The sequence below is a fragment of the Homo sapiens genome, chromosome 2, assembly GCF_000001405.40.
Source record: "Homo sapiens chromosome 2, GRCh38.p14 Primary Assembly".
Taxonomy (NCBI): domain Eukaryota; kingdom Metazoa; phylum Chordata; class Mammalia; order Primates; family Hominidae; genus Homo; species Homo sapiens.
In genome coordinates, this window is record NC_000002.12 from 165973904 (window position 1) to 166000588 (window position 26685).

The 26685-nt window shown below is 35.0% G+C and overlaps 1 protein-coding gene and 1 long non-coding RNA gene across 18 annotated transcripts in view; one reads left to right on the forward strand and one right to left on the reverse strand.

Annotated features, from left to right (window-relative positions):
• Positions 1-26685, forward strand: part of LOC102724058 (uncharacterized) — a 78983-nt gene that overhangs the window by 16486 nt on the left and 35812 nt on the right. The window lies entirely within an intron of this gene.
• Positions 10738-26685, reverse strand: part of SCN1A (sodium voltage-gated channel alpha subunit 1) — a 164521-nt gene continuing 148573 nt past the window's right edge. For 16 of the 17 annotated variants that reach the window (NR_148667.2, NM_001353949.2, NM_001353958.2 and 13 more), the window contains 5 exons: positions 25820-25873; positions 24135-24272; positions 22110-22214; positions 20243-20513; positions 10738-18519 (listed from right to left, as the gene is read on the reverse strand). Coding sequence is in view for 16 of the 17 variants with exons in the window: in NM_001353949.2 (NP_001340878.1) it covers positions 17342-18519; positions 20243-20513; positions 22110-22214; positions 24135-24272; positions 25820-25873 (1746 nt within the window). In the remaining variant the exon portion in view is untranslated. The remainder of the gene's footprint in view (positions 18520-20242; positions 20514-22109; positions 22215-24134; positions 24273-25819; positions 25874-26685) is intronic. The other variant, NM_001165963.4, reaches the window with a different exon arrangement.

The following is a 26685-nucleotide window of genomic DNA, read 5'->3' on the forward strand; positions in this document are numbered from 1 at the left end:
ACAATATTAACCTTAAATGTAAATGGGCTAAATGGCCCAATTAAAGGACACAGATAGGCAATTTGGTTAGAGTCAAGGCCCATCTGTCTTGACCCATCTCACGTGCATCAGGAGACCCATCTCACTTGCAAAGACACACATAGGCTCAAAATAAAGGGATGGAGGAATATTTACCAAGCAAATGGAAAGAAAAAAAAAAAGCAGGGGTTGCATTCCTAGACTCTGATAAAACAGACTTTAAACCAACGAAGATCAAAAAAGACAAGAGCATTACATAATGGTAAAGAGATCAATGCAACAAGAAGAGCTAACTATCCTAAATGTATATTCACCCAATACAGGAGCACCCAGATTCATAAAACAAGTTCTTAGAGATCTACAAAGAGACTTAGACCCCCAAACAATAATAGCGAGAGACTTTAACAGCCCACTATCAATATTAGACAGATCAACGAGACAGGAAATTAACAACTATATTCAGGACTTGAGCTCATATCTGGACCAAGTGGACCTAATAGACATCTACAGAACTTTCCACCCCAAATCAATGGATTATACATTCTTCCCAGCACATGGCACTTATTCTAAAATAGACCACATAGTTGGAGGTAAAACACTCTCAGCAAATGCAAAAAATGGAAATCATAACAAAGTGTTTCTCAGACTGCATTGCAATCAAATTAGACATCAGGATTAAGAAACTCACTCAAAACAGCACAACTACATGGAAACGGAACAGCCTACTCCTGGATGACTACTGGGTAAATAACAAAATTAAAGCAGAAATAAATAAATTCTTTGAAACCACTGAAAACAAAGACAATGTACCAGAATCTCTGGGACACAGCTAAAACAGTGTTAAGAGTGAAATTTATAGCACATTAAATATATAAATATAGATATACATAATATAATATATATAAATATAAATATAGCACTAAATTTATAGCACATCAGAAAGTGGAAAAGATCTAAAATCAACACCCTAACATCACAATTAAAAGAACTAGAGAAGCAAGACCAAACAAATTAAAAAGCTAGCAGAAGACAAGAAATAACTAAGATCAGAGCAAAACTGAAGGAGACAGAGACACAAAAAACCCTTCAAAAAGCATCAGTGAATCCAGGAGGTAGTTTTTTTGAAAAGATTAACAAAGTAGGCCACTAGCCAGACTAATAAAGAAGAAAAGAGAGAAGAATCAAATAGTCACAATAAAAATTGATAAAGGGGATATCACCACTGATCCCACAGAAATACAGACTACCATCAGAGAATACTAAAAACACCTCTATGCAAATAAACTAGAAAATCTAGAAGAAATGGATAAGTTCCTAGACACATACACCCTCCCAAGACTAAACCTGGAAGATGTTGAATGAATCCCTGAATAGACCAATAACAAATTCTGAAATTCAGGCATAAATTAATAGCCTACCAACCAAAAAAAAAAAAAAAAAAAAAAGCCAAGGACCAGATTGATTCCCAGTCAAATTCTACCAGAGGTACTAAGAGAAGCTGGTACCATTCCTTATGAAAGTATTCCAAACAATAGAAAAAGAAGGACTCCTCCCTAATTCATTTTATGAGGCCAGCATCATCCTGATACCAACCTGGCAGAGACACAACAAAAAAAGAAAATTTCAGGGAATATCCCTTATGAACATCAGTGTGAAAATCCTTGATAAAATACTGGCAAACCGAATCCAGCAGCACATCAAAAAGCTTATCTGCCACGATCAAGTTGGCTTCATCCCTGGGATACAAGGCTGGTTCAACATACACAAATCAATAAACGTAATCCATCATGTAAACAGAACCAATGACAAAAACCACATGATTATCTCAATAGATGCAGAAAAGGCCTTTGATAAAATTCAACACCTCTTCATGCTAAAAACAATAAACTAGCTATTGATGGAACATATCTCAAAATAATAAGAGCTATTTATGAAAAAACTTCATAGCCAATATCATACTGAATGGGCAAAAGCTGAAAACATTCCCTTTGAAAACCAGCACAAGACAAGGATGCCCTATCTTACCACCCCTATTCACCATAGTATTGAATTTCTGGCCACGGCAATCAGGCAAGAGAAAGAAATAAAGGGTATTCAAATAGGAAGAGAGGAAGTCAAATTGTCTCTGTTTGCAGATGACATGATTACATATTTAGAAAACCCCATCTTCTCAGCCCAAGGACTCCTTAAGCTGATAAACAACTTCAGCAAAGTTTCGGGATACAAAATCAATGTGCAAAAGTCACAAGCATTCCTATACACCAATAATAGACAAGACAGAGAGCCAAATCATGAGTGAACTCCCATTCACAATTGCTACAAAGAAAATAAAATACCTAGGAATACAAATTACAAGGGACGTGAAAAACCTCTTCAAGGAGAACTACAAACCACTGCTCAAGGAAATAAGAGAGGGCTCAAAAAAACTGGAAAAACATTCTATACTGATGGATAGGAAGAATCAATATCATGAAATGGCCATACTGCCCAAAGTGATTTATAGATTCAATGCTATTCCCATCAAGCTACCATTGACTTTCTTCATAGAACTAGAAAAAACTACTTTAAATTTCACATGGAACCAAAAAAGAGCCCATATAGCCAAGACAATCCTAAGCAAAAAGAACAAAGCTGGAGGCATCATGCTACCTGACTTCAAACTATACTACAAGGCTACAGTAACCAAAACAGCATGGTACTGGAAACCAAAACAGAAATATAGACCAATGGAACAGAACAGAGCCCTCAGAAACACCACACATCTACAGCCATCTAATCTTTGACAAACCTGACAGAAACCAGCAATGGGGAAAGGATTCCCTATTTAATCAATGATGCTGGGAAAACTGGCTAGCCATATGCGGAAAACTGAAACTGGATCCCTTCCTTACAACTTGTACAAAAATTAACTAGAGATGGATTAGAGATTTCAACATAAATCCTAAAACCATAAAAACCCTAGAAGAAAACCTAGGCAATACCATTCAGGACATAGGCATGGACAAAGACTTCATGACTAAAACACCAAAAGCAATGGCAACAAAAGCCAAAATTGACAAATAGTATCTAATTAAACTAAAGAGCTTCTGCACAGTAAAAGAAACTGTCATTATAGTGAAAAAGCAACCTACAGAATGGGAGAAAATTCAATCTATACATCTTACAAAGGTCTAATATCCAGAATCTACTAAGAACTTAAGCAAATTTACAAGAAAAAAACAACCCCATGAAAAGGTGGGTGAAGTATATGAACAGACACTTCTTGAAAGAAGACATTTATATGGCCAACAAACATAGAAGCTCATCATCACTGGTCATTAGAGAAGTGCAAATCAAAACCACAATGAGATACCATCTCACACCAGTTAGAATGGCAGTCATTAAAAAGTCAGGAAACAACAGATGCTGGAGAGGATGTGGAGAAATAGGAATGCTTTTACACTGTTGGTGGGAGAGTAAATTGGTTCAACCATTGTGGAAGACAGTGTGGTGATTCCTCAAGGATCTAGAACCAGAAATACCATTTGACCCAGAAATCCCATTACTGGGTATATACCCAAATGATTATAAATGGTTCTACTATAAAGACACATGCACACGTATGTTTATTGCAGCACTATTCACAATAGCAAAGACTTGGAACCAACCCAAATGTCCATCAATGATAGACTGGATAAAGAAAATATGGCACATAAACTCCATGGAATACTATATAGCCATAAAAAAAGAATGAGTTCATGTCCTTTGCAGGGACATGGATGAAGCTGGAAACCATCATTCTCAGCAAATTAACACAGGAACAGAAGACCAACCACCACATGTTCTCACTGATAAGTGGGAGTTGAACAATGAGAACTCCCACTTATCAGGGAGGGGAACCTCACACACCGGGGCCTGTTGGGGGGTTGGGGACAAGGGGAGGGAGAGCATTAGGACAAATACCTAAGGCATGTGGGGCTTAAAACCTAGATGATGGGTTGATGGGTGCAGCAAACCACCATGGCCCATGCCTGTTAGAATGGCTTTTATAAAAAAGATAGGGAATAATAGATGCTGGTGAGATGTGGAGAAAGAACCTTTTATACCATTGGTGGGAATGTAAATCAGTATAGCCATTATGGAAAACAGGATGGAAGTTCTTGAAGAAACTACAAGTGGAACTACCATATGATTCATTGATACCACCATTGAGTATATATCCAAAAGAAAGGAAATAAATGTATCAAAAAATATCTGCAACCCTGTTTATTTCAGCACTATTCACAATAGCCAAAATATGGAATCAACCTAAGTCTCTATCAACAGATGAATGGATAAAGAAAATGGATCTGGAGATCATCATACTAAGTGAAATGAGCAAAGAGCAGAAAGAAATATTGCATGTTCTTACTCATATGTGGGAGCTGAAAAAGTGGGTCTCATGGGGTAGAGAGTAGATTGGTGGTTACCAGATGCTAGAAGGGTAGAGGGAAGTAGGGAATGAAGAGAGGTTGATTCATGAGTACATATGTACAATTAGATAGAAGAAATAAGACCTGATGTTCAATAGATCAGTAGGTTGACTATAGTTAACATTAATAGAATGCATATTTCAAAACAGCTAAAAAGAAATAATTTGAATGCCCTAGAATAAAGAAAGGTAAACATTTAAGATGAAGGATATCTCAGTTACCCTGATTTGGTTATATGAGTGTAGCAAATTTTTACATGTATGACTAAAATAGGTACAGCTATTATGTATAAAGAAAAAAGATGTGTACTTGAATATGGCAGGCCTTAAAATTCAGTAATTTATTTCCAAATTGTTATTCAGACAGTATCAAGGAGTCTATATTTGTCAGGATAATCTAGAGTTAGATCCTATTTTAGAGTTTAATTAGAGGCTGAAACGTGAGCTTCCTGATGACATACGCACAGCCTTGAAGGGCAGAGTAGAGGAAAATCACCTTTCGCAGGTTCCTATCATCTTCCACAAATTCCTAAGAATTGGATGCTCTTCTATAATATTGGTATCCTTTTTCCTCTCATAGTTATAATACCAAAATCACTGCATAGACGGAAGTTATACCTTGTCAGGAGAAACCCTTTGTATATTGTCTTAAAAGTCTATAAAATTAATGTGAGGTTTACTTGATTCACTATGTTAGTTATGATAATTGTTTTATGCCACTAGAAATCGTTTTTACTCTCTGAAAAATAATGTTTCAAAACGAAAATGGACCTTGAAAGATTTTATCTTTCAAATTCTTCATTTTGTAAATGAGAACTCACTGTTCAACAAAGTTAAATAATTAGCTCAAGGTCTTAGCAATTTTATTAGACTAACAGTATTTCTGGTTTTCTGAAAGAGTGATTGAGAAACAGTAGCTTAGGAAGTTTGAAAAATTAAGTAAATGTTTTTGATCCAGTTTTACATATACTTACAACTCATGAAAAAATATGAACTAAGTTTTAGTAGTGTTTATCTTTGGGCTTCTCATTTCCTACTATGTAAATTTCATAGTCTTGTTTTGTTACAACAATCAAGACTAATTTCTATTTCAGAAATATCTTTTGCAATCTCTTTGAATGTTTTAAAATAAAACCTCTACTGCTTAATAAGATTAACTTCTTTTAACTATAATTGTTCACAGATAATTAATGTTTTTTATTTATTAATTCAAATGATAAGAAAGAATTGAGTAACATCAAATGTGCTAATAGTGTTTGCCATATGCTATAGGCTGAATGTTTATTGCTAATAGCATTTGCCATATTCTATAGACTGAATGTTTATATCTCCCCCGAATTCATATATTGAAATCCTAACCTCCCATATGATGGTATCTGAGGGTGGATCTTAGGGAGGTGATTAGGTATGATAGCAGAGCCCTCATGACTAAGATTAGTGTCCCTATAAAAGTGCCCAAACATCTCCCTCACTCCTTCTGTCATGTGCGGACTCAGTAAGAAGACCATTGTCTACAAACAAGGAAATAGGCCTTCTCGAGACATCAAATCTCCTGTGGCCTTGATCATGTACTTCCAGCCTCCAGAACTTTGAGAAATAAATTTCTGTTGTTTTTAAGCCACCCAGTCTATGGTATTTGTCGTAGCAATCTGAATGAACTAAGGCAGAAATTGATACCAAAAAGTGGGAGTGCTGTTATAATAAATACCTAAAAATGTGGAAGCAGTGTTGGAACTGGGTAATGGGTGAAGGAGGCTGGAAGAGTTTTAAGGTGCATGCTATAAAAAAGTCTACATTACTGTGAAAAGGGAATGTCATAAAATTCTAAGACAAACCTGACTAGTTTCATACTAAATTTAATACTATTAATGCCTAATGAATTTTATTCTAGCAAATCATAACATATAATAAATAGAAGAAGCTCTGCTGTAATAATGTCATTCCTCATTCTCTTCTCTGAGAGAAATATTCCTAGATACTTTAACCATTCCCCATAAATCCTATTATCCACCTTCTTACATATTTATACATTCACAATCTTATGGTTACTACATTTTGCTCTAGCATTTCACCTGTCTCAGGTTATCGATCAGTATAACTCAATAGACGTTTCCCTTAGGTAGGGCAAATGGCTGCACTTATGACTAAGTCTGATCAAAGGCACAATTTGTTTGCCTTTAGAAATTTTTGTTTTCCATGACTGCAAGAAATACTGCTGAACAAGACATTTCTTCATCATCCTTGATGAAAGATGAACATTAATAATGCAGATAGAAATCAGGCCAAGTAATGTTGAAGAGAAAACAAGGTCCAGTAGCACTACTTCCTTTTAGAAGATAAGAATAAACAGATTTAAAATGGCAAGCTCAATAATTTTACCCTAACAAAAAATGAGGTGAGTACTATATAACCCTTAAATTCTGAAGAGTTTAAAATCAATTTATGTACTCGTATCTTGAAAATATTTGTGTATAAACATATCTATACTTATCTACATCTATGACTATTTCTTTACAGGTATGGTATGCACTCTTATGCATGTAACATATGCTCTTTTAAATATGAGTCATATGTATCCAATATTACTGTAATATACCAAGGTCAACTTTCATTTGTAAGTTTTGTGATATCTTATTCTTTTATGTATCTTCTATATAATGGAAGCCCTCTGATATTCTGTATAAGTAAAGAAAAAAGATTTTAGAGGCATAAAAACTTAAAAAAAAACTAAAGCAATACTAACATTTAATTCAATTGCTCATTTACTAAATACTTACTCATCATTTTGTGTATGCCAAGCACTATAGAAGTTCATTTCTGCCTATCAGGCAGATGGTATATGTTTTCTTGTGGCAGCGTAGAAGTAAGGGTGATAAAAGGGGGAAACCTACATTCCCACATATACATAATGGTGGATTAGTAACCTTCTGTCCTGATGTGCCTGTAAGAGTCCTGGATTGTGCCTGTTTTAGCACAATTATTAATATTGTCCTCTTTCACTCTCAGAAGTGTTTGGGTTTGAGTATCTGGGTACATGTCCAAACCCTGACACTTTTGAATGAATCCCACAGAGATTCATAGGAGAAAAAATTCTTTTCCAGTAATAAGAAACAAAGAAGCTGTCTCCGAATCCTGAAGAATGGGCTTGCTTTCACTGGGTAGAAAGAAAGAAGATATTCAAGGCTTATGTCTCATCATTGCTTGTGTTTTCCCAGTAGCTTCCTAAACTTTGTCCCTGATTTCTGTTTCTTTTGTTTTTTTGTTATCAGCAGTTGCTTTTATTTATTTTATTTATTTATTATTTCCATTGCTTTAGTGGTACAAGGTTTTTTTGTTGTTGTTGCATGAGTGAACTGTATAATGGTGAAGTCTGAGCTTTTAATGTAGTGATGTAGTGATGAATAGTGTACATTGTACCCAATAGGTGATTTTTTATTCCTCATCTCCCTCTCCCCCTCCCTACTTCTGAATCTCCAGTGTCCATTATAGCACTCTTTATGGCTTTGCATACCCATGGCTTAGCTCCCACTTGTAAGGGAGAACATGTGGTATTTGGTTTTCTATTCCTGAGTTACTTCACTTAGGATAATGACCAGTTCTATCCTAGTTGCTGCAAACATGTTTCATTCATTTTTATGGCTGAGTAGTATTCTGCCATAAATAACTACTGTTCAGTCTTCAAGCTTGTCCCGCCTAACTTTATTGTTCTTGTTGTTCTGTTTTGTTTTGTTTTAGACTTTAGCAGCCTGAAGCCATGACTTTTAGTTTCTGTCCCTAGTGATAAGCAGAAAAGGGAGATGAGCAAGGGGCTTTACTGACCCAAACAGAAATAGAAACTAAGAACCCATGACTGTATTGTCTACCTTGGACACCCCTGATTTTCTTTATCCACTCTTCAGTTGATGGACACTTATGTAGATTCCATATCTTTGCAATTGTGAACTGGGCTGTGATAAACCTACAAATACAGGTGTCTTTTTGATATAATAACTTATTTTCCTTTAAGTAGATACCCAGTAGGGGGATTGCTAGATAGAATGTTAGATCTCTTTTAGTTCTTTGAGAAATCTCCATACTGTTTTCCAAAGAGGAAACATAAATGGTACATAAATAGTACATAAATTGTGCTAATTTACTTTCCCACCAACAGTGTATAAGCCTTTCCTTTTCACTGTACCTCACCAACATTTATTGCTTTTTTACCAATGTCATTTTTCCTAGAATTAGACAAAACAATTATAAAATTCACATTGAATGTTTCCTTTGTCTTGAAGTCAAAATCTACTCTCACCGACTTTTGCTTCTTTTACAATTTCTAAATGGGTCTTCATCACCAAGGCCCCCACCCTGCATTTAAAGCCCTTTATCATCTGAGTCCTGCTTGTCTCTCAGTCACTGTCATTGCTCCTTTTTCACATTAGCAACAGTGAACTCTTAAAAATGCTCTGAACTGTCCTTGTGTTTCTCATTTTCATATGTGTCTTTAATTGTCATCATTAAAACAAAGACTTATGTAGTAATTATATGCCTGGAACTGTTGATCTGAAAGCTTTACTTCCGTTAACTCATTTAGTCCTCATAAGAATTATTATTACCATTTTTACAGATGATGAAATTGAGGCAATGAGAGGCCAAGAAACTTTTGTAATATCAGTATAGCTGATATTTGGATCCAGGCAATCTGACTCTAGAGCCTGTGGTTTTGGCCATTGGTCTGATATTTTTGCTGTCCTGGCTGCCCTACCCCGCTTATTCTTCAAAACCCAGATCAGAAGTTATCCCATTATAGGCTCGGCGTGGTGGCTTATGCCTGTAATCCCAGCACTTTGGGGGGCCAAGGCGGGTGGATTACTTGAGGTCAGGAGTTCGAGGCCAGCCCGGCCAACATGGTGAAACCCCGTCTCCACCAAAAACACAAAAATTGGCCAGGTGTGGTGGTGGGTGCCTGTAATCCCAGCTACTTGGGAGACTGAGGCAGGAGAATCGCTTGAACCCGGGGAGTGGAAGCTGCAGTGACCCGAGATTGCGCCACTGCACTCCAGCCTGGGTGACAGAGGGAAACTCTGTTTCAAAGAAAAAAAAAAAAAAGTTTTCCTATTATATAACCTTTCCCTGTATCCTCACATAGCATTACTCATTTGTTCTTCAATATATCCTGTAATTGTACTTATTTCTTTTGCCGAATTAGAAAGATAACTTGAACAATAACAGATATGGGGAAAGCTGGTTGACTTCTGGCTAGTTTTGTTGATGGCTGATAGGGATAGACTATAAAGGGACTAGTTTTGGACATATTAAGTTGAAGGTGATAGCTGAATATGCAAGTACAAAAGTCCAACAGACGTGTGGAGATGCAGCACCAACTCAGCAAAAAGGCTGCTGCTGCACTACAAATCTAAAAGGAGAGAAAATATTGATAGAGAGTAAAGGCAAAGAATCAAAGATACAGGCCAGGCGCGGTGACTTAACGCCTGTAATCCCAGTACTTTGGGAGGCGGGGCGGGTGGATCACGAGGTCAGGAGATCGAGACCATCCTGGCCAAAATGGTGAAACCCCGTTTCTATTAAAAAATACAAAAAATTAGCTGGGTGTGGTGGCGTGAACCTGTAGTCCCAGCTACTCAGGAGGCTGAGGCAGGGGAATCGCTTGAACCAGGGAGGTGGAGGTCGCAGTGAGAGGAGGTTGTGCCACTGCCTGGCGACAGAGTGAGACTACATCTCAACAACAACAACAACACAAAAAAGAAGAAAGAAAGAAAGAAAAGAAAAAGAATCAAAGATACACTAAGAGGCCTAGGGTACTCTAGTTTTATGGAAGACACAGTAAGATGCAATTTAAAGAGGGAGGAGGTGATGATCATCATCATCACTGAATTCTAAAAATCTGCCAGATACGATGAAGCCTGAATAAAGATCAAATTTAGCTAATTTAGAGTGGTAAAAGTAGGAGCCAGGTTTGAGACCATGAAGGAGAGAGAGAAGGTGCTCTGGAAGAATAAGATTCAGCATTGGGCTGGTATTTGAATTTGTTTGAGTCACAATTTATTTCAAACAGCTTGAAGAAGAAAAATAAGACTTGTATCTCAATGGTTTCCAACAAAATATACACATGCATAATGGCAAGTTTAATTAACACAGGGGTAGTCAGTTCATAACAACTTAGGGGAAAAATTAAACTTTCTATAACAATACTTTTTTCATGATGAATTTATCCTTAAATTTTTTTTTTTACAAATTTATTTTAGGGACTTTCTGGTCTCCATATTCTCATAAATAAAAGTTGCATTCCATGAGGAGAAAACAAAAAAACCCATCACAGTGAACAATTGAATTGCTCCGTGGACATCATGCCTTTCTAAGCAAGCATTGAATATAGGAGATGTATTTATGATAACCAGAGACAGAGTATGTATAGCTTGGCTCCATAGGGGTGGTGTTCTCGGTTCCTATGTCTACCTTTTGTATTTTCCAGCCCTTCCCTCATAATGTTACTGGGAAAGTTAACAGCTAGCATAACATTTTGAAAACCCAAAGTGTTTATATCAACAAGATTATTCACAGTCAAATTTTCCCATAAATATCACTGGGACCTATATTTCTTTTAATTTTAACCAAGAGTGAAGGTAGTGAGTATAGAGCCCTGGCTTTAGAAACTAACCTTTAAAAATAATGAGATAATGACACAGTGAATAAAGATGCATCAGGGTTGAGCAAAGTTATTTTTTAAGATTAGAAAAACTGATTTTGAAAATGCAAAGGCAGACAAAAAGGATCAGTCAAGAGGGAAAGAATAAAGATAGAAGAGAAGTAGAACAAGTCATGGAGCAAGGTATCTGAGAATGTAGAAATGAATGGGAAAAATTGATCTCTGAAAAGATATAAAAGTATGGATTGAAGGAAGGAAGGAAGGAGAGGGAGAGAGGAAGGAAGGGAGAGAGGGAGGAAGGGAGAAAGGGAAAGGTAGGAGGGGGAGGTAAAGTAAGAAAAAGGAAGGAAAAAGGAAGAGAATGGAAGGAAAGAAAAAGGAAGGAAAAAGGAAGAGAATGGAAGGAAAGAAAAAGGAAGGGAAGGGAAGGAAAAGGGAAGGGAAAAGGGACTTAGATATTTTTCACTGGATAGGAAAGAAATTGAGGAAGTTTATAATGATGTCCTCTTGCTTGTTGCTGAGGTGAGGGGCTGAGTTATCTGCAAATATGAGGAGTGTTCTAACGGAATGATAAAGGACTCAAGCAGTTGAGTAAAATCAATTGATATTGCAAATTATCCACTTGTGATTTTAAGAATTTCTTGGTGATGCAATTTTCCCATCTATACTTGATTGTCTAGAGTATTTTCCTCCTCTAGTGCCTTTGCTGCCACACTGATTAAATCAATATTGATTGACAACCTCAGTGGGATATTTCCATGTGCCAGGAAGAATAGTACTATCAGCAGTACCCAATTCATGGTGGTTTAGAAACACATTTATTTTCTTATATAATAAGAAATTCCAGTGCACACATGAAGAATATGCAATTACCAGACATATTTGCTGTCTTTAGTGCGACAAGTTTATATAGTTCGAGTGTCTGGGCTTTGTGATACAGATATACAAACATACAAACTTATGCAGTAGAGTTGTCTGTCCCAATGGTTACTAGACTTTTGGATTTCATGCACCAGTAAAATACAAATGGGAGGACCGACACCAGGTTGCCAATTTTCCACTTGGCTAAATAAAATATTAAAACCAATGACCCATTATCACGTATTCTCACCATCATTTCCAAAGAACATTTAAACATTAAATGGTATTAGTCTTTAGAAAATAATCTAAAAGATACAATTTCAGGATAAAGGTCTTTAACTTGGATATGTTCAGCTTTATAAATATTTATGGCATTATTCTTAATTTTCTGGCTTAACTATAGACATATGAAAACCTTGTCATAAGGGTGCTGCTCTGTGGAGCTGTGTTTGGAATTACTATTTATACCCACAGTGTCTGGTCCCCAGCTTAAACAGCAAAGTGCCACCTTCTGTTATCCAAATCAGATCTGTTTAGCATCAAATACTGGGGTCTTAACCACTATGCCGCAGATCTTTTCTAAAATATTCTTATTTTAATTAAACAGTGATTATTATGAAGAACAAGGAATGTAATCATTTCTGTGACTTTTCAGGAAGATTACTGCTAGGAAATGAGAATAGTAGTTAAAAAACCAGTATATATTGAATTAATTACCAACAGTAGATCTAATTTTGAAGGTAGAAATTATAAAGTCCAGGGCATACAAAATATGATAGTGTGAACACGCAGACATAGGCACTTCAGTAACACACAGCAAAAAAAAAAAAAAAATCCTCCCCTTTCTAAAGACACACACACATCTATACTTTTATCTATGTCTGTTTACATACATACATATATATATAAATGTAACTCATTTTTCTTTGAACTGATTCAAGAATGAGCTGCAGACATTGTTGCATTCACCCCTAAATACTTTAGCATGCATTTTCAGAGAATAAGAACATTTTCTATTTTCATGGAACAGGCACACTAGTCTTAACAAAATTAGGAAAATTAACACTATTATAATACTAATAACTAATAAACAGTCCATATTCAAATTTATTCAACTTTCCCAATAATATTATTTATCTGTTATTTTTTAATTTGATATTCCATCCAGAATTGTGTTTAGTTGTCATAGTTCTTTGACCTCATGGAATTCTTTAGCCTTTCTTTGTCTTTCATGACATTGACATTTTTAAGGAGTTCAGTCCACTTATTTTATAGAGTGTCCTCAATTTGATTTTCCTTGTAGTTAGATTCTGGTTTTAAAATTTTGACTGTGTACCAAGAAGTAATGTGGCCCTTTCAGTATATCTTATCAGGAGGCACATAGTATCAGTTGGTCTCATAATTGATGATATCTTTGAAGGTATTGTCTGCTGTATTTCTCCAAAGTATACTTTCTTCTGTTTAAATTTTCTACTTAATAGAGAAGAGATACTTTAAGATGCTATAAATACCCTATTCCTCATCAAACTTTCACCCATGAGTTTTAATACTCATTGATGATTCTTGTATGAATCAATTGTCATTAGGGTGATTGCCAAATAGTGATTTTTCTAACTCCGTTATTTCTTCTACAATTGTTAATTAACATTCAACTGCAAGAAACAGATTTGTACTTTTCCTTATTTACTTACATCAGTATGTATTTGCTGATTCTTATTCAATGAATTATAATCTTTTACTATCATTTATTTTGATGCTCAACTTGCCCCAGATTTGGCCAGTGGGAAGCCCCTTCTAGTTGGTTCCTGTGTCTTACTGACATGACCTCATCATTCTTTGAAGAATAATTACTTTTTAGCACAGAAAATATCATGCCAAATATTTCAAAATGAATATGGAGATTTATATGATTATGTTTTACCAGTTCTTCTCTTTGTATTTGGAAAGGTAACAGTGAGTAATGGCGTGGATGGGTAGTATAAAAAGTCTGCAGGGTTTATCCTATAATTCTGACCTACCTTAGTTGGAAATGGGAATTTTTTTCAGCTACTAATATATCAGAATTAATTGTTGTGTTGCTTTAGGATTGTGATGTTATGAAGAGGCAAAGTCAGTCCATTGTACAAGGATGGGAAAAGCCTTTTAATTACTGTCCCTTTTCTGGTTGAGGCTATATTCCCTCTTCTGGCTTCACCTGATGACAAGGGAAGGCTTCTCGTTCCTCAGAAATTTAGATAGATTAATTTAGACTGTTAATTTTACTATCTGGACCACCCGAGTAACCTTTCCATGATATCTGTGAATTCTGCACTGGACTTCACTGTGGTTCCCCCAGTTACTGTTTTTCTTTATCTGCAAAAGTTAGCAAGATTAAGACCCCAAGCTGAAGCAAGGCACATCTTTGCTTCCTGCTGACTTTCATGAGCTGTTGAATCACCTTGTGTCAGCCAGGCAGGAGACAGATGGCATGCTGAAATGAGGCATATAGAAGAATTTCATGAAGGGGACATTTACAAAAGTGTCAGCAATGTTAGGAGAAAGCTACAAGGAATACAAAAGCACTCTCAATGCAGCAGCAGACCTGAAGGAGCAAGGGGAGGAGTGATTACCTGACCCCAGAGAAAGTAGCTTCAGTTGTATGAGGGGCAGTCTGATTGGAGTATGACTTTTCGGGGAGGAATGAGTCCAGTGCCAACCCAGCAAAGAAGGAATTGGAGAAGAAATATTCCTATGTCAATCTTCTCTCTCTGGTGCTTTCCCACTGGTGCTTCTCATTGGCCAAACCAATTGGGAGCTCAAAGGTAGGAGAGCCCATTTTTGCAATGTGTAGAAGTCACCCTTCTGGGACACACAGAATGATGCAGAAGCAGAGAGAGTGGCTCTGGAGGAGCAAACACAGTATCCTACACACATGGCAATTCTAAATTTTTAAATGATGATTTAAGGGTTTCTTTTCATAGCTCAAGGGGTCATCCACCATCACTCTGGCTTCCATACTTCTCTTCCTCCTAGAATCACTAGCTATCCTCTGACACCAGTTCTTCCTCCTAACAGAGAACACACCTGCTGCTTGTAATTCTGGGAGGTCATTACCCCCTACCTCCAGTGACATATCTACCCTAGGTTTTGTTGTCAACGTGGGTATGCCTCTGTGTGTGTGTGTGTGTGTGTGTGTGTGTGTGTGTGTGTGCGCGCGCGCTCCCCTTCTCCCCCAATTTGTAATGTAAAAAATCTCCATATCATTAGAATATTCTGTTAACAAAAAGTGACTGGGCAAACAATAAAATAAAAAATGTAATCTTTATTAGTTTTGCACATTTTAAATGTTGGTTAGCATTATTTAGCATAATAGTAGCATTTTCCAGCATGCAGTTCACGAATACAGTTTATCTAAGTAGTTTTAAGGAAAAGAGGAGCCTATGGTTTGCTTCTGTAAGAAACACAAAATGTCCTGATGTAATTGACTATATAAGTTGACTACTCTGTTTTTGTGGAAAAAAAAATTATGAAGCCCACATTCTATTTAGAACAATCTAGAGCAGCATTACTCCAAAGAAATGAAAACATAAACCGAAGTCAGAAAAAAAGAACAAAAATAACATAAGCACTACCTTCAATTCAGTTAGTGCAGGTACTACCAGAAATATAAATAAAATTTTAAACCCTTTTCCAATTGCAAAGCATAATTTGGATATGAATCGTGAACCTATTTTGCTCCTTAAAATTGTGAAATAATCTAAAATTAGCAAATGTAATTTAAAAAGCAGAAATCTACAACTACCCAGTCTTGTTTTCATGTCTTATTTAGCAAATTTCTTTCATGAAAAAGTACTATGGACAGAAAGTAAGAAAAGTGATTGTGATATCAACCTGAAGATAATTTCCTCTTCATATTTATGTACATAATGCTGAAAAATAAAATAAAGTGACTTTTTACAGTATTTATATTTGCTTATAAAATTCTAAACACATATTTAATAGGTTAAGCAGTGTGTTTTTTTAAACATGTCTGTACAGTCTGGCTATATACCATATGTTATCCACTTAAAATGTAAAAATAACCAAAAAGCTGTTAAAGTGCTGCAAACTATTGCTTAATGACTTAAATAAATGAGATCTGTTGAACAATTTCCTTGACTTTACCACTGACATATGGTTTCTCATAAATGAGATTCTGAGCAGTGAGAGAAACCAGATACAGCAGCATGGTAATATAAACATGCATTGATAGCATCCAAACTATCTATAAATGGTACAGAATACATTTTATTACCTGTGTAAAGCTTGCACTCTACATTTCTTGTGGTACATATTTGATGCAATAAATACTGTGCTTAGGTCATTATTTGTTTGCTCAAACGTGCACCACAGGGTAAAATGACTATTTACATAATAAATAGCATTTCATTAACATATACAGTGTCAACCTTGCTGAGAGCCGAAGATGGCTAAACAAAGTGCAGGAAAAAGCAGAAATTTATAAAGAGTAATTTTGGTCAATTCAGTCTTCTGGCGGTGGAGGGTGAGGGGCAATATTCACTATTCAGGTTTTTTTTTTAATACAACAAAAAGAAACATAACATTTATGACTCCAAACATTTGAATGAAGTTTGCACCTGCTAAGATTTACTGGCCTACCCACAAATAATCTACTTGGTCTAGGGGCTGGATTTCGCAAAACAAGATCAACAAAGCACCTCCACTTATCACCCAATTACCCCTCCCAGAAATATGGTGAAATTTAAGAATTTGTTTTTCTTGTGACTTTTTCTCATGCATGATCTCTAAGTGCAGCATGCCCTCATGCAAACCACGACTTTGTGTAGCTGGGAGGGCCATGTGGTTGCCATACCCCCCAGGTGGCATACCTGTTATAGAGGTCCTTAGCCTATTTCTCAACAGAAACTTCGTTTACAAAAATAGTCACATATAATAAACACATGGATTAACAAAAAGATGAATCCACTAACAGATTCCATAAAAATGTGACAAATGTGGCAGTTGAAATGCAAACAGTGGATACAATTACTACACTAAAGTGTTTCATGTTAAACAACCCCAAAATCACAGGTTTGCACCCCTTGAAACTGGTCCCTACAGTCTGACTAGCCATTGTGCATCTTATCTTCAGCAGTGTCAGCTGGTAGTGAGAACAGTAACCTCCTGTCAAGGTCATCTCCCCTTTACACAGAGTCACAGTTTGCTGACAAGGGGTCACTGTCTTATTGTAGGCACTGACCTTAAGGAGATTTGTGTAAAAACAGTCAGTTTGGCATTGACCTCCTAAAGGAGTCCTGTTGATAAAAATACATCACCTTCACAGGCTGTAAACAATTTGTCACCCAATTATTTTTATTTATTTTCATTTATTTCCCTTTGGCTTTTTCATCTTTGCCTTCTTGCTCATGTTTTTCCACAATTGGCTTTGTCACCCGGTCATAGGAAGGTGGACAAGCTGCAGTGGACATGGTCAGATCAGTTTTTTCTGTAATAGAGTTTTCATTTATTCTGTCAATTATCATGTCTTCTTTTATAAGAAGATTAGCCCCACCTTTGATTTTGTTTTTATTGTACGTAAAGGAAGCTTGTTTTACAGTTCGCTTTAAAAGGTGGCGTCTGTAAGCACGCTGAATAATGACAGCAGATACTTCCTCTTGTTTTCGTTTTAAAGTAGTAGTGATTGGCTGATAGGAGACCTTGGAAGGATTGGAAGCCATGAATCGCTCTTCCATCTGTATTCGTAGAGCATCCATCTCTCCACTCTCTCCTAGAACCCGCTTTGTAAAAGCAAATAAGATATCAAGACAGTGGATCCGGTCACCACTCACCATGGGCAAATCCATGGCAATGAGCTGGAGTTTGTTTGGTTGTGGCAGATTGAGAGGCGGTTCAAGCGCAGCTGCAAACTGAGATAATTTTTCAAATTCCATGAACTGAGTTGCATCGGGATCAAACTTCTCCCAAACCTCATAGAACATCTCAAAGTCATCCTCACTCAGAGGCTCTGCACTTTCTTCAGTAGCAACACTGAAGTTCTCCAGGATGACCGCGATGTACATGTTCACCACAACCAGGAAGGATATGATGATGTAACTGACAAAAAAGAAAATTCCAACAGATGGGTTCCCACAGTCTCCCTTAACTGAGCTTCCAGGGTTAACTTTATTAGGGTCACAGTCGGGTGGCTTACTGTTGAGAATGGGTGCTAGCAATCCATCCCAGCCAGCAGAGGTTGTAATTTGGAATAGGCAGATCATGCTGTTGCCAAAGGTCTCAAAGTTGAACATGTCATCGATCCCAACTTCCCTCTTAACATAGGCAAAGTTGGACATCCCAAAGATGGCGTAGATGAACATGACTAGGAAGAGTAGGAGGCCGATGTTAAACAACGCAGGAAGGGACATCATCAAAGCAAAGAGCAGCGTGCGGATCCCCTTTGCTCCTTTGATCAGACGTAGGATTCGGCCAATCCTAGCAAGACGGATCACTCGGAACAGGGTAGGGGACACGAAATACTTTTCTATCAGCTCGGCAAGAAACATACCTATGAATAAACAATGAGAATACCAACCAGTGAAGAAATCATGCGTTAAAATAAACATATGTTTCTTCTAAAGCTCCAAGGTAAGGTTCAGAGTCCTGAACCCAGTTATATTAAATATGACAACTATATATAATATATATATAATTGTACATAATATATTATAAATCTTAATTTTGAAATTCAGCAATAATTTCAATTATAAGGATTATAGTACTTTTTTTTATCTTTAAGAGATGTTTATAAACTACTTTTAGTTTATGTAAAGTCCCAAGTCAGAATTTAAAAAGAAAATAAGTTAAAAATGCACATTTGGCCGAACAGTAGCAGCCCAACAGTATAGGTACAAGTTTATATGTATACAGTGACTTTTTCTGAAATTGCCATATTCTAAATTCTCTATTTACTCCTTTTCCATCTGAAAGTATTGGTAGCTTTTGATGCTACTTTCATCTCCCCATGATCTTGGTACTTACTTAAATTCCACTCTAATATTTTTATATACTCATTTATGTATGTTCTGGTGCATTTCTGAAAGGATCCCAGGTTGATGCTCTTTTTAGTATCCTGTACTTAATGTTGTATTTCAATTCTTTTTGGTCTCCTGTACCTAACACTGTAATCTCAGTCTTCTTATTTTCAGCTTCTCTCTCCATTTGCTTTTTAGATAAAAACAATACTTGTAAAGTTAAAAAGAAGAGCTCAAGAAACTAAATGCCTTCAAGTTTAAATGCCTCATTCTGAAAAGACGAAGTGTAAGAGTGTGTGTGTGTGTGTGTGTGTGTGTGTGTGAGAGAGAGAGAGAGAGAAGGAGACGTGTGAGAATACAACTTTTATACCTTAGCCACACTAGTTATAACCAAGGATTATAATTAGTGGGAATCAAAGGCTATATACAATGAGCTGGATATAAGGCCAGTTTCTTCAGAGAGGGGAGTGGCATGAAAATCTGTCCAACACAGGTGCCTCGTTTTGGATAGTAAAATATTGACCCAATCATATCATCCTGTTTAGGGAAGAATGAATAGGCCCACAGACAGATGCTTTTTACTTTACTAGAGCTTTAGTTTTGTCTAATGAAATGAGCTATTGCTCATGAGGCTAGTTATGTGTTCCAGGCTTTGAAGTATAGTACTGATGATGTCCCATGCCACCTTATTTCCCTTGTGCATCATTATGATAAACCCATTTTTAAGGTAGTCTAGAAAATCTCTACATGACACTTGCAGAGAACCTACTATATGCATTTGCTAATGTTTAGTCCTTGTCTTTATTCTCTTTTTATGCAATACTTTTCCTTATCTTGAAACCACTTTCCACTAATATCTATATGCTGGTGACTCCATGTCTATTCTCTAAAGCAATTTTCGTGAGTACCAGACTACATTTCTAGTCTTGTTAACAGAACCATCTAGATACTATATTGGTTCTTCAATCTCAACATGTCAAAAACATTTTTATTTTAGTTAATAGCACAGTTCTAGTTCAAATGAATGAGGTTTTACTACATTTACACTAAGTATATTGTTCTAAATGGATAGAATAAGAAACAATACTGACATATAGTAGGAGACATTTTGTTAAAAAAACAAACACACTTGGATAAAATGTATCAAAATATTTACAGTGATTATCTCTGATTGCTGGGATGATCTTGAATCTAATCTTGATTGTTTCAGCTTTCACTTTTATTTAACTGAATTTAAGAACTTTAAATATTTCTTACCTACAATGGAGAGAATGACAACCACAAAATCAAAAATATTCCATCCAATGGTAAAATAATAATGGCGTAGAGAGATGAGTTTCAGTACACACTCTCCAGTAAATAGCACAATGAACACCAGATTGATGCGTGACAAAATGGTAGTCACATATTCACTCTGGTCATCTGTTTCCACCATCATTGTGACCATGTTAAGACAGATGAGAATCATGATGCTTATGTCAAAAACTTGTCTGGTTACGAAGTCAAAGACCATTCCTTGAAATTTGTTCTGTAGAGAAATAGAAATGCTTTTAACAACAAAGGAGTTTTCTCATGTGCATTAGCATTAAGTACTTTCTGCATTAATTGACTTTCTAGTTTCTTGCAAAGTAGTCATTGGCCCTGATTTTTGTAAGAATGATTTATAGCATATTAATTGTTAAAATTTAGTTATTTAAATTGCCATTTACTAATGTGTATTTCTCAGAATAACAATCCCTTATCCAAAGAAGGTTTCTGATAAAAACAAACAAACAAACAAACAAACAAACAAAAGAAACATTCAACACTGTATACTTCTTCCAGAGGTATGCAACACATATCAACATTTTAAGATTATGAAAAGGTAAGAAACCCATTTAATTTTTTTTTCAAGACTTTCCAATGATCAGCTGGACCATACATCCATTTTAAAATATAGTACTATTAATATTTCACTTGTTGTATTCTCAAATAATTGTTAAGGAGAATTTGGAATTTCCAAGACACATCTATAACATTATGCATTTAAATACCACATATGGCAATACTCATATTCTTCTACCAAATAGCCTTGGCTAACATTGTCAGACACAGAATCCTGAAACTGCACAAGGATAATGAGACCAGAATGACATTTCCTATATGTTTATGTCAAAAAAAACTTCACGTTCTTTGTCGTTGATCTGTGATTCTGCTTCCCATTTCTGCCACTGCTAGTCACTGAAGGCCATCTGCAGGCTTATTTCTTTGGGCCACTGAGGAATTCTGAGGGAATTTTCCAACTTATATTTTTCCTAAATTGTTGTTTCATTTCTACTCTTAGTGCTAAATTTTAATGGAGAAAGTATATATTTCTCATCATTCTCAGGAAGGCAATATTCAATCATCACAATATGAATATTTGCTAGTAGTTTTTTCCTTGATGCACCCTAGGAATTACTGAAACCTCTCAGATCATCATCATAAAAATATTTATAGTGTGGGATAATAGCTGTACATTTTCATAGCAATTTGTTTATTTCATCATGGAAGCATGAGTATTGTTATTTATCATCATAAACTGTAATTACTGACCCTGACTTCTGCAGACATTAGTAATACCTAACTCTATAGCCATACATATGAATAGTAGATACTGGAATTCTTTCCTCCTTTAAAACACTTAGTATCTCTAGTGAAAAATAAAATAGAAGTAAGGTGTTATTTCACTCAACACTTCATTTCTTAAAATATTAGGAAATTGCATTTCTTACAGCCCCATCCCAAGGTTTACTTCTTTCCCTGATATTACTTGGCAACCATTCTTGAGTTGTGTGATTAACTTTCTCTTGTGCACATCACATTGTCTATGTGTCCATTGGCCAATTAATATGGATTGTAATGGGGTGCTTCTAAATCTCTTGAAGTCAAGGGTGTATCTTCTATTTCTTCTTGTTCTTTTTTGGTCTTTAATTTTTTTTGTTGTTACCATTATCATAAAAGATACAAACATCACTTTTAGATGATGCTCTACAAGTGAAAGAAATTTTTTCTACTGGAAATGTTAGCTACTTTCTTTTTTGTGAGACAAGCATGCAAGTTTTTGTTTTTGTATTTTTCCCCCATATCATTTGATACTTCTTACTCCTGGTCGAGGTATAGGCTTTTGCGGTTTTTTCGATCCTAATTTTTTCATTGCATTATAGTATTTCTTCTGTTCTTCTGTCATAAAGATGTCTTGACCTCCAAAGTATAGAAAAGAAAAATCAAACTGGTTAAAACTGTGTCCTTTTGTACATTTTTTTCAATGTTAAAATAGAAAATGGATGGCTAAAAAAAGAAATACAAAATTCAACTGATTAGTATAATTATATCTGGGATTTAAAATGTAAAAAAAATTGTACTCTTTAGGTATGATAATATTTAATTCCCTAAATAATTCAAAATTGACTTTATTATTATTATCTTATGAAGACAAACACCCCCAAATCTCAAAAAGGTTAAGTATTTTACCCAAGACCTTATGCTTAGTGAGTGGCGAAATTTGGTTCACTGAGATAATAAATACTTGGTACCTTATACTATACATACTACCTTTATGATGTTAAAGGCAATAATTTTCTTATTTAAATGTAGCAAAGAGTTAGAGGATGTATACTGCAAGACAGTTTGGAGTTACTCATTAAAAAAGTCACTCTAACTCTGTCAAGAATTGGAGGAAAGGGATAAAAAGAAAACTGGATGAGTTAGTGAGAGATTTAGGGGATAAATCAGAGCTCATAGCATAGTAAGTATGGGACAGACCAGTAGGGATAGAAGATTGGAACACTGGCAAGTAAGTGAAATAGAGTAGCCTGATATTGACTTAAGAATACTACTGGTAATAAGAAAAGGGAATTGAGGGGAGAATGTTCTGTAGTCTAAGAAAGCACTCATTCATTATACAAAAAGCAAACCTACTGAACAAGTGAGATGAAGCAACAGTACATAAAGGAAGAAATACAAATGGCCAATGAGCATTTAAGAACATGTTCAAATGTAATAAAATACATAAAAGTCATAACAATTAAGGTTATAAAAGTCATAAAAATTAAAATTAAATACAGTTTTCACCTATTAAATATCAAATATTCAAAAACAGAATGTTTGGTGACAGTGAGGGAACGGTGGCATGGGTGTTCATACACTGATATTGGGAGTTTGAGTAGTTATATTACTCTAGGGGAGTAAAATACTTCATTGTGGGAATTTATTCTCAGGAAATAATTAAAGCCTTATTTTCTGTCCCTCTCTCTTTTTTTTTGTACAAAACTTTCAACAAGGTACTATTTAAATCATTAAAGATTAAAAACAATCTAAATTATCAACCTACTGGGGAATGAATAAGTAAATTATGATAATGCATATATGAAGACTTAACAAAATGAGAAAATACTTATGTTAAGTCTAAAGTGGAATTTATAATTATAGATAAAAAGTACAACAATAAGAGTATGTGCAGAAATACTCTGAACAGAAAACAAAATGTGAATGGCAGCAGTTACTTCCAAGTGATGATATTTATTTACTTTCCATATGTTCTATAATGTACATAGGTAATTGGGACAATCAAATGAGCCTTATAAATGATAAATAATAGTCATACAATTCAAGACTGAAACGGATAGCTTGTATTTAAATATCTTGGAGAAAGAAATGGGAATATATAAAAGAAATCAATGACAGAAAAAAGCGTAAAAATAAACACTAGAAGAAGCTTACATCCAGTGCCTAATTTATTGCAAAGAATTAGTTGGAAAATATATTTTCAAGGGGGAGTGGGTAGTTGTAGGGATAAAGTAACAAATTGCTTTTGGGAAAGAGGCATATTCGGTTGCTTTCTAGTTTTATTCTAATTATTATTTTTTAAAAGATAGAAAATGTTTCTTGATAATGAATAAGAGGAGGAAAAACTTTATGAACCTATGAACAAGAGTGTGGAACACAGTTATTCTTAGCTTTCTATAGCCGGAAATATATGGATAGTGAATGACAGAGGAAGAGGAAGGAAAAATCAGTTATAATATATACTCCCATTTTGTTTCTAAATTCAAGTACTCATTTGGCAGAGAAAACACTCCAAGGAATAATTTTCTATCTCAGTGGGAGAGAAAATATTAGAAATACTTATCTTCTTTTTCTGCTGGTTGAAATTATCTATGATGACACCAATAAACAGGTTCAAGGTGAAGAAGGACCCAAAGATGATGAAAATAACAAAGTAAAGATACATGTACAGACTTTCTTCATACTTAGGCTGGAGTTCCACCTACCAAAGGGGAATATTTTGTAAAATATTACCATACATTTTAGTGCTGGAAATGTCACTGGTGCTTTTTCATAACAATAGAAAAAATTATTCTTACTAATATGTCAGCATTTTTTTTTTTTCTGAATCAACTACCTCTAAAAAACATCCCTGAAATTGGCCTTTAGGGATGTTTTCATGTGAAAAATATGGCTATTATGACATTCTAAAATCTATTTTTATAACTATAAATACAAATAATATTCTTCCATTTGAACAGTAATGTGCTAAATTTGCAAGCTTTTAAGGTACTGAATTTTAGTAATTTTAAAATTATTAATAAAAAATTTAAAACTGTAAATATCTACAGGCTAGGTTTAGAAACAGTCATTCATGTATGCATGAAATAATGTAGCAAATAAGAAATGAGTTGTTCATTCAGATGTTTGGCACTTTACCCTAAAGTAACAGTTATTGAATTTTTCAGATTAAGTAGACATAGATGGACAGTCCATTTTATAAATCCTCAGTTGATTATTTAATTCCTAGATTGTGCTTAAAACAAATGGGCTATTACTTATAATTTAGTAATGGACTGAAAGGTCACTATAGTTTTTTAACAGATTCATGTCCTTCTAAAAGCAACAAAGTTAAAAACCAACTAAACACACAAAACAAAATATAAGTGACAAAGTGAAATAAAACAACTCTGGAGGTTATCAAAATGATATTCAACATAAAACTAAAGCTATTTGAAATGCACTTCAAGAAAGATAACATCAAACTCTATCAGGTTGAAGACTGCAGGGACAGAGGTTATTCTTTATGATGATAAACTAAACAGATGGGACTTGAGAATAGAAAGATGAAGGTTGATAGAAAATACTACATCTTACAAAGTTTTGAAGAGCAAAGTTGGAATGAGCATGAATTTCAGTTTAGGTCTTGGAGCCTGAAAGAGGCTGAAATCAAATAAAATAGGTTTATATTTTGGTGATATACACTTAAAGGAATCTGTTGGTCACAGAAGTGATTGCAACATTAGTAAAGGCTCCAGTCAATTTATGAATGCAAAAATCATATAAAAACATTCTTTTATATGGTTTAAAATAGGATTATTTGAAAGAAATCATCACAGTAATCTAAGGCTGACAGAACAATATCCATAACTTTTCATGCTGTCTAATATGGAGGGTGACTATACATTTCAACTAATGATAGAAATCATATATTTCTTCAAATTTGGTCCCGCACACTAAAATTACTACTAATTATATAATGTGTGGATAAATAGGAAACAAAATAGAAAATATTTAAAAGGAAAATATTTGTTAGTTACTAAATACATGAATTTGTTACTTTGGTTTTCAAAATAATTCATGTGTTGAATTATCTTAGTAAGATCTTTCTGATAAACATTGCTATGCTTGAATATTTACCTGTCACACTTTTTCCCAAATATTTTAAATCAAGATAGAATCATTTCATTTGGTCGTTTATGCTTTATTCGATTAATTTTACCACCTGATCAATATTGTAAAAAGACTTAGAATACAAGGAATACTTACATTTCTGGAATCAACTGCTGCATACATTATATCCATCCATCCTTTGAATGTGGCCTATTAAGAAGGACATGCATGTTTTACTTTGGAGTAAAAATAATTTAGACCTGATGTTTAATAAATATTCTTACTGATATAATTTTCAAAAGGGAATATTTTTGAAAGACATTTCAAAACAAATTTTACACAGATTTTGGACCAAGACAGTATTTTAGTATGGCTTTTCATTTCTAGAACACATATTGAACAAAATGGCCATTTGATATATCCTCCCCTTGATAACCAACTCACAAGCACTTTTCAATTCTTTAGAGTTCATGGTGTCATGATATTTAAAGCAGTATTAAAATTTGCTGGAGCACTTTTTAGAAAGTCTTACAAATGCCAACACATGGGTCAATAGCTCTATCAGCCAAATAATTACAACTTAGATCTAAGGATCATCTGCTAAAATTTATCTGCAGGGTGATCAAAGTGATTGAAAATTTAAGATTTCTCTTTATTGTAACAATGTAAGGATAGTACCAGGATACATAAAGGCAGGGTTGCAACTATCCTTTTAAGAATTTTGGAGCAAAACATTTAGAAATACAATCCTTTTAAGAATTTTGCATCAAAACATTTAGAAATAACCCCCTATTCTATTTTCTTTCTGAAATTCTTGAAGATAATAAGTTAATATGAATAAGAAATGTGAACAATAGTACAGCAGACACTTGGCACTCACAGGATGAAGGATACTCAGGCTAACAACTTACAGTAATTTGTTACTTGTCCTGGGGCATGAATTTTGAGTCCTGTGGGCCTAAAAGGATTATCCCTTAGCTAGTGAGGGAGGTTAGCAAAGCCTTTAGCGTCTGTATCACAAT